General features: G+C 40.0%; 1 annotated feature.

Moving 5' to 3' along the window:
• Positions 2,333 to 2,832: an enhancer, noted in NCBI's record as "H3K4me1 hESC enhancer chr11:18943059-18943558 (GRCh37/hg19 assembly coordinates)". NCBI's record gives its function as "activates a minimal SCP1, AML or CMV promoter by ChIP-STARR-seq in naive H9 embryonic stem cells {active_cell/tissue: H9 hESC(naive)}" and the evidence as "EXISTENCE:reporter gene assay evidence [ECO:0000049][PMID:30033119]".

The following is an 8,590-nucleotide window of genomic DNA, read 5'->3' on the forward strand; positions in this document are numbered from 1 at the left end:
CCATTTCTGCTGAGGATGCAGTTGCTTAGAACTTACAGTGAAGGCAATTTTCAACTTATGTAAGCATGTATAAAGTATCATTCTTTTTTCTCTGTAATTACTCATCTAGGAATTTATCTTGGAGATGTATTTGTGCATGGCCAAAAGATCTATGTACTAAGTTAATAAATGCAGTGTTATTTACAGTAAAAGACTGGTAACAGCCAAAATGGCCATCAATACTGTATAAATTATGGTCTATCTGTGCAGTAGAATACTCTATAGCTACACAGAAAGAGCAACAAACCTAATATAAAAGGCCCTCCAGAATTTGTTAGATTTTTAAAAAAGAATGCAGACCAATGTATATATTGTATGACGAAGCTATATAGTTGCTTTATCACTAAATATTTGCAAATTAATGCAAAATTATTAATAAGTATAATATGATATGTCTTTGTTAACAAGGCAAGGATGCCTGAGGATCTAAAATGGGAATGACAGTTTGCAGTGCATGTATTTAAAGATTATTTTTGAAAGTTCTGACTTTATTACTATGTCACAAATAAATTATCAAGCAAAAAAATAAATATAATGATCTAGCTAAGAGACAGAGATAGACACATGAGAAGATATGAGGAAGGGTGAGAATATGAAGATAATGAGTACAGAAAACTCTTTGGAAGATATATATACATGTATATTTTTCTAAAGGATTGTAGAGAAATCAGGCTGTGGATGGAGAGGAATGGGGGCTTGGTTGGTATTTTAGGCCAAGAATAGGATAGTGTGTTTCAATTGCAATGGAAGGATCCATGAGAGAAGGAAACATTGAAGATGCAGGAGAGAGAAGTAATAATGCTATAAAATGTTTCTCGGGAGGGAAAAGGGGAAACTGCACAAATTGAAAGGGTGGTTTCAAACAGGAATTTGCAGAGCCCATTTCCTGGCATGAGAGAAAATGCAGAGAGATGCGCTCAGAGGCACATGGGGAGGTAGGTTCCCTCTGGGGAGATTGAGTAATTCTCAGAGGAGCATCACCTGACAGTGATTTAAAAAAAAATGAAGAGTAGGCGGTTTCAGGAGAGAGAAAATGTCGTGAAGATTTTCCTTTGGAGAGTGAGAGGCAATTATGGAAATGTCACGTGAGTGTTCAGGAGATATAAATGGACCTTTCAGGTTCAAGGTTATAAATGTACAGTGAAACCGCTGGGCATGGTTGTGTGTTGTGCTGCAGCCACCCTCAGTTCTATGGGAACAGGCATGGAGTTAGTGGAGAGCTGGATTCAAGCAGGGTAAAAGACGAACTGATACTTCAGCAAGGACATATATGCATGACAAATAAACACATAAAAAGATGCTCAACATCACTAATGTTTAGGACAACAAATAAAAGTCACGAGATACCACTCTACCCTCTCAATATGGCTAAAATATAAAATACTGATAGTTTCAAATATTGGCTGAGATTTGAAGGAATTGGAGGTCTCATACACTGCCAATGAGAAAGTAAAATAGTAGAGCTACTCTGGGAAATCTTCTTGCATTTTCATATAATCCAGCAATCCAGCGTATCCTAGAACCTGGAAAATGTATCCTAGAAACTGGGAAACTGTGTTCACTTAAAAATCTGTACAGGAGGGGGGCCAAGATGGCCAAATAAAAACAGTTCTGGTCTGCAGCTCCCAGCGGGACCAACGCAGAAGACTGGTGATTTCTGCATTTCCAACTCAGGTACCCAGTTCATCTCATTGAGACTGGTTAGGCAGTGTGTACAACCCACGGAGAGCAAGGAGAAGCAGGGTGGGGCATCGCTTCATCTGCGAAGTACAAGGAGCCAGGGGACACCTGTCCCCCAATCAAGGGAAGCTGTGAGGAACCCTGCTACCAGCCCAGTACTACGCTTTTGAAATGGTTTTTGCGATCCGCAGATCAGGAGATTCCCTCGTGTGCCTACACCACCAGGGCTCTGGGTTTCAAGCACAATATTGGGCAGCTGTTTGGGCAGAGACCGACCTAGATGCAGGAGTTTTTTTCATACCCCAGTGGTGCCTGGAACTCCAGTGAGACAGATCCGTTCACTCCCCTGGAAAGGGGGCTGAAGCCAGGGAGACAAGTGGTCCCCTGCCTCAATGGGTCCCACTCCCACAGAGCCCAGCAAGCAAAGAACCACTGGCTTGAAATTCTCACTGCCGGCGCAGCAGTCTGAAGTCGACCTGGGGCGATTGAGCTTTGTGGAGAGAGGGGTATCCGCCATTCCTGAGGCTTTAGTAGGCGGTTTTCCCCTGACAGTGCTAAGAAGGCTGGGAGGTTTGGACTGGGCGGAATTCACCACAGCGCGGCTAAGCAGCTATGGCCAGACTACTTCTCTAGATTCCTCCTCACTGGGCAGGACATCTCTGAAGGACAGACAGCAGGCGCAGTCAGGGGTTTACAGATAAAATTCCTATCTCCCTGGGATGGAGCACGTGGGGGAAGGGGAGGCTGTGGGCGCAACCGCAGCAGATTTAATCTTTCCTGCCTGCTGCCTCTGAAGATAGCAGCTGATCCTGACAAGGGGGGTTCTCCCAGCACAGTGCACCAGCTCTGCTAAGGGACAGATTGCCTCCTCAAGTGGGTCCCTGACCCCCGTGCCTCCCAACTGGGAGAGACCTCCTAACAGGGGTGGACAGACACCTCATACAGGAGAGCTCTAGTTGGCATCAGGCCAGTGCCCCTCTGGAATGAAGCTTCCAGAGAAAGGATCAGGCAGCCATCTTTTGCTGTTCTGCAGCCTCCACTGGTGATACCCAGGTGAACAGGGTCTGGATTGGACCTCCAGCAAACTGCAGCCGACCTGCAGAAGAGAGGCCTGACTGTTAGAAGACCAACTAGCAAACAGAAAGCAATAACATCAACATCAACTAAAAAGACCCCCACACAAAAACCCCACCCAAAGGTTATCGGCCTAAAAGATCAAATGTAGATAAATCCAGAAATATGAAGAATAAGCAGTGCAAAAATATTGAAAATTCCAAAAACCAGAATGCCTTTTCTCCTCCAAATGTTAGAAGCTCCTCTCCAGCAAAGACACAAAACTGCATGGAGAATGAGACTGATGAATTGACAGAAGTAGGCTTCAAAAGATGGGTAATAACAAACTCCTCTGAGCTAAAGGAGCATATTCTAACCCAATGCAAGAAAGCTAAGAACCTTGATAAAAGGTTACAGGAACTGCTAACTAGAATAACCAGTACAGAGAGGAACATAAGTGACCTGATGGAGCTGAAAAACACAGCACAAGGACTTTGTGAAGTATACACAAGTATCAATAGCTGAATCAATCAAGCAGAAGAAAGAATATCAGAGGTTGGAGATCAACTTACTGAAATAAGGCATGAAGACTAGATTAGAGAAAAAAGAATGAAAAGGAATGAACAAAACTTCCAAGAAATATGGGACTATGTGAAAAGACCAAACCTACAATTGATTGGTGCAACTGAAAGTGATGGGGAGAATGGAACCAAGTTCGAAAATACACTTCAGGATATTATCCAGGAGAACTTCACCATCCTAGCAGGACAGGCCAACATTCAAATTTAGGAAATAGAGAGAACACCACTAAGATACCCCTCAAGAAGAGCAACCCTAAGACACAGAATTGTCAGATTCTTCAAAGTTAAGTTGAAGTAAAAAATATTAAGAGCAGCCAGAGAGAAACGTTAGGCTATCTAAAAAGAGAAGCTCATCAGAATAACAGTAGATCTCTCTATAGAAACCCTACAAGTCAGAAGAGAATGGGGGCCAATATTCAACAGTCAAAAAAAAAAAAGTATTTTCAACCCAGAGTTTCATATCCAGCCAAACTAAGCTCAACAAACAAAGGAGAAATAAAATCCTTTCCTGACAGGCAAATGCTGAGGGATTTTGTCACCCCCAGGCCTGCCTTACAAGAGCTCCTAAAGGAAGCACTAAATATGGAAACAAAAAACCAGTACCAGCCTCTACAAAAACACACCAAAATATAAAGACCAATGACACTATGAAGAAACTGAGTCAACTAATGTGCAAAATAACCAGCTAGCATCATAAGGACAGGATCAAATTCACACATAACAATATTAACCTTAAATGTAAATGGGCTAAATGCCCCCAATTAAAAGACAAGGATGGGCAAATTAGGTAAAGGGTCCAGACCCGTAGGTGTGCTGTATTCAGGAGACCCACCTCACGTGCAAAGGCACTTGGGCTCAAAATAAAGGGATGGAGCAATATTTACCAAGCAAATGGAAAGCAAAGAAAAAACAAAACAAAAACAAAACAAAAAAAACCAGTGGTTGCAATCCTACTCTCTAATAAAACAGGCTATAAACCAACACAGAAAAAAAAGCAAAGGAGGGCATTACATAGTGGTAAAGGGATCAATGCAACAAGAAGAGCTAACTATCCTAAATATATTTGCACCCAATACAGGAGCACACATATTCATAAAACAAGTTGTTACAGACCTACAAATAGACTTAGACTCCAGCATAATAATAGCAGGAGACTTTTACACCCCACTGTCAGATAGATCAACAAGACAGAAAATTAACAAGGATATTCAGGACTTGAACTGAGCTCTGGACCAAGTGAACCTAATAGACATCAAAAGAACTCTCCACTCCAAATTAGAGAATACACATTCTTCTCAGTGCCACGTAGCACTTCTTCTAAAATTGACCACATAATTGGAAGTAAAACACTTCTCAGCAAATGCAAAATATTGGAAATTATAAGAAACAATCTCTCTGACCACAGTGCATTCAAATGAGAACTCAGGATTAAGAAACTCACTCAAAACCACACAACTACATGGAAGTTGAACAAGCTACTCCTGAATGACTACTGGGTAAATAAAAAAATGAAGGCACAAATAAAGAAGTTCTTTGAAACTAATGAGAACAAAGAGACAACATACCAGTATCTGGGACACAGCTAATAAAGAAGTTCTTTGAAACTGATAAGAACAAAGAGACAATGTACCAGAATCTCTGGGACACAGCTAAAGCACTGTTAAGAGGGAAATTAATAGCACCAAATGTCCACATCAGAACGCTGAAAAGGCTTGAAATCAACACCCTAACATCACAATTAAAAAAACTACAGAAGCAAAAGCAAGCAAATTCAAAAGCTAATGGAAGACAAGAAATAACTAAGATCAGAGCAGAACTGAAGGAGATAGAGACACCAAAAACCCTTCCAAAAAATCAGTGAATCTAGGAGCTAGCCATAGCCATACTGTTTTTTTGAAAACATTAACAAGATAGATAGACCACTAGCTAGACTAGTAAAGAAAAAAAGAGAGAAGAATCAAATAGACACAATAAAATGATAGAGGGGATATCACCACTGATCCCACAGAAATACAAACTACCATCACAGAATACTATAAACACCTCAAAGCAAATAAACTAGAAAATCTAGAAGAAATGGAAAAATTCTTGGACACATACACCCTCCCAAGACTAAACCAGGAAGAAGTTGAATGCCTGAATAGACCAATAACAAGTTTGGAAATTGAGGCAGTAATTAATAGCATACCAATGAACAAAAGCCCAAGACCCGATAGATTGACAGACAAATTCTACCAGAGGTACAAAAGGAGCTGGTACTCTTCCTTCTGAAACTATTCCAAACAATAGAAAATGAGGGACTCCTCCCTAATTCATTTTATAAGGCCAGCCTCATCCTGATACCAAAACCTGGCAGAGACACAACAACAACAAAAAAAATTGCAGGCCAATATCCTTGAGGAACATCAGTGCAAAAATCCTCAATAAAGTAATGGCAAACCGAATCCAGCAGCACGTCAAAAAACTTATCCATCATGACCAAGTCGGCTTCATCCCTGTGATGCAAGACTGGTTCAACATACACAAATCAACAAGTGTACTCCATCACATAAACAGAACCGATAACAAACACCACGTGATTATCTCGATAGATGCAGAAAAGGCCTTTGATAAAATTCAACATCCCTTCATGTTAAAAACTCTCAATCAACTAGGTATTGATGGAATATACTCAAATTAATAAGAAGTATTTATGACAAACACATAGCCAATATGATACTGAATGGGCAAAAACTGGAAGCACTTCCTTTAAAAACCGGAAACAAGACAAAAATACCCTGTCTCACCGCTCATATTCAACATAGCATTGGAAGTTCTGGCCAGGGAAATCAGGCAAGAAAAACAAATGAAGGGTATTCAAATAGGAAGAGAGGAAGTCAAATTGTCTCTGTTTGCAGATGACATGATTCTATATTTAGAAAACCCCATCGTCTCAGCCCCAAACTCCTTAAGCTGGTAAGCAACTTCAGCAGTCTCAGGATACAAAATCAATTTGTAAAAATCACAAGCATTTCTATACACCAATAATAGACAAGCAGAGAGCCAAGTCATGAGTAAACTCCCACTCACAATTGCTACAAAGAGAATAAAAGGCCTAGGAATACAATGTACAAGGGTTGTGAAAGACCTCTTCAAGGAGAACCACAAACCACTGCTCAAGGAAGTAAGAGAGGACACAAACAAATGGAAAAAAATTCCATTCTCATGGGTATGAAGAATCAGTATCGTGAAAATGGCCATACTACCCAAAGTAATTTATAGTTTCAGTGCTATTCCCATCAAGCTACCCTTGACTTTCTACACAGAATTAGAAAAAACTACTTTAAATTTTAAAACCAAAAAAGAGCCCGTATAGCCAAGACAATCCTAAGCAAAAGGAACAAAGCTGGAGGCATCATGCTACCTGACTTCAAACTATATCACAAGGCTACAGTAACCAAAACAGGATGGTACTGTTACCAAAACAGATATATATAGACCAGTGGAACAGAACAGAGACCTCAGAAATAACACCACACATCTACAACCATCTGATCTTCGACAAACCTGACAAAAATAAGCAATGGTGAAAGGATTCCCTATTTAATAAGTGGTGCTGGGATAACTGGCTAGCTATATGCAGAAAACAGAAACTGGACCCCTTCCTTACACCATATACAAAAATTAACTGAAGATGGATTAAACACTTAAATGTAAAGGCCAAAACCATAAAAACCCTAGAAGAAAATCTAGGCAATACCATTCAGGACATAGGCATGGGCAATGACTTCATGATGAAAATGCCAAGAGCAATTGCAACAAAAGCCAAAATTGACAAATGGGATCTAATTAAACTAAAGAGCTTCTGCACAGCAAAAGAAACTATCATCGGAGTGAACAGGCAACCTAAAGAATGGTAGAAAATTTTTGCAATCTCATCATTTGACAAAGGTCTAATATCCAGAATTTACAAGGAAGTTAGAAGCACTTAAAAGAGGAAAACAATCAACCCCATCAAAAAGTGGGCGAAGGATATGAACAGACACTTCTCAAAAGAAGACATTTATGCAGCCAACAAATGTATGAAAACAAGCTCATCATCACTGGTCATTAGAGAAATGCAAATCAAAACCACAGTGGGACACCATCTCGTGTCAGTCAGAATGGTAATTTAAATTAGGAAACAAGAGATACTGCTGAGGCTGTGGAGAAATAGGAACGCTTTCACACTGTTGGTAGGTGTGTAAATTAGTTCAACCATTGTGGAAGACAGTGAGGAGATTTCTCAAGGATGTAGAACCAGAGATACCATTTGACCCAGCAATCCGATTACTGGGTATACATCCAAAGGATTATAAATCATTCTAATATAAAGACACTTGCATACGTATGTTTATTGCAGCACTATTTACAATAGTGGGTTAGGTTGGAACCAACCCAAATGCCCATCAATGATAGACTGGATGAAGAAAATGTAGTACATATACACTATGGAATACTATGCAGTCATAAAAAAGAATGAGTTCGTGTCCTTAGCAGGGACATGGATGAAGCTGGAGGCCATAATTCTCAGCAAACTAACACAAGAATAGAAAACCAAACAACATATGTTCTCAATCATAATTGGGAGTAGAAAAATGAGAACCGTTGAACACAGGGAGGGGAACATTACACACAGGGGCCTGTCAGGAGGTGGGCAGGAAGGGGAGGGAGAGCATTATGACAAATACCTAATGCACGTGGGGCTAAAAACCTAGATGATGGGTTGATAGTTGCAGCAAACCACCATGGCAGATGTATACCTATGTTAGAAACCTGCAGATTATACACATGTATCCCAGAACTTAAAGTAAAATAAAAAAGTCTGTACACATACGTGTATAGCTGCTTTATTTATAAATGCCACGTTAGAAAAAACAGCAATGTCTTTCCACTTGTGAATAGTGAAACAAAGCATAGTACATCCATACAATGGAACACTACTCAGTAGTATAAAAAAAAGTCAGCAATAAGCTATGGATACCTGCAAAAAGTTGGGTGGATCCTGAGGACATTATGCTGAATGAAAAAAGCCAAAGTCAAAAGATTAGATACTATATGATTCCATTTATATAACACTTTTGAAATGATGAAATTATAGAGATGAAGAATAGATCAATCACTAGAGGAATTTGGGAAGAAACATACTGTGGGTATGACAGTAGGAGGAGCCCAAGGGAAATCTTTGTGGTGAAGAAACACTTCTGTATGTAATGCGA

The sequence above is a fragment of the Homo sapiens genome, chromosome 11, assembly GCF_000001405.40.
Source record: "Homo sapiens chromosome 11, GRCh38.p14 Primary Assembly".
In the NCBI taxonomy this organism is placed as follows: Eukaryota; Metazoa; Chordata; class Mammalia; order Primates; family Hominidae; genus Homo; species Homo sapiens.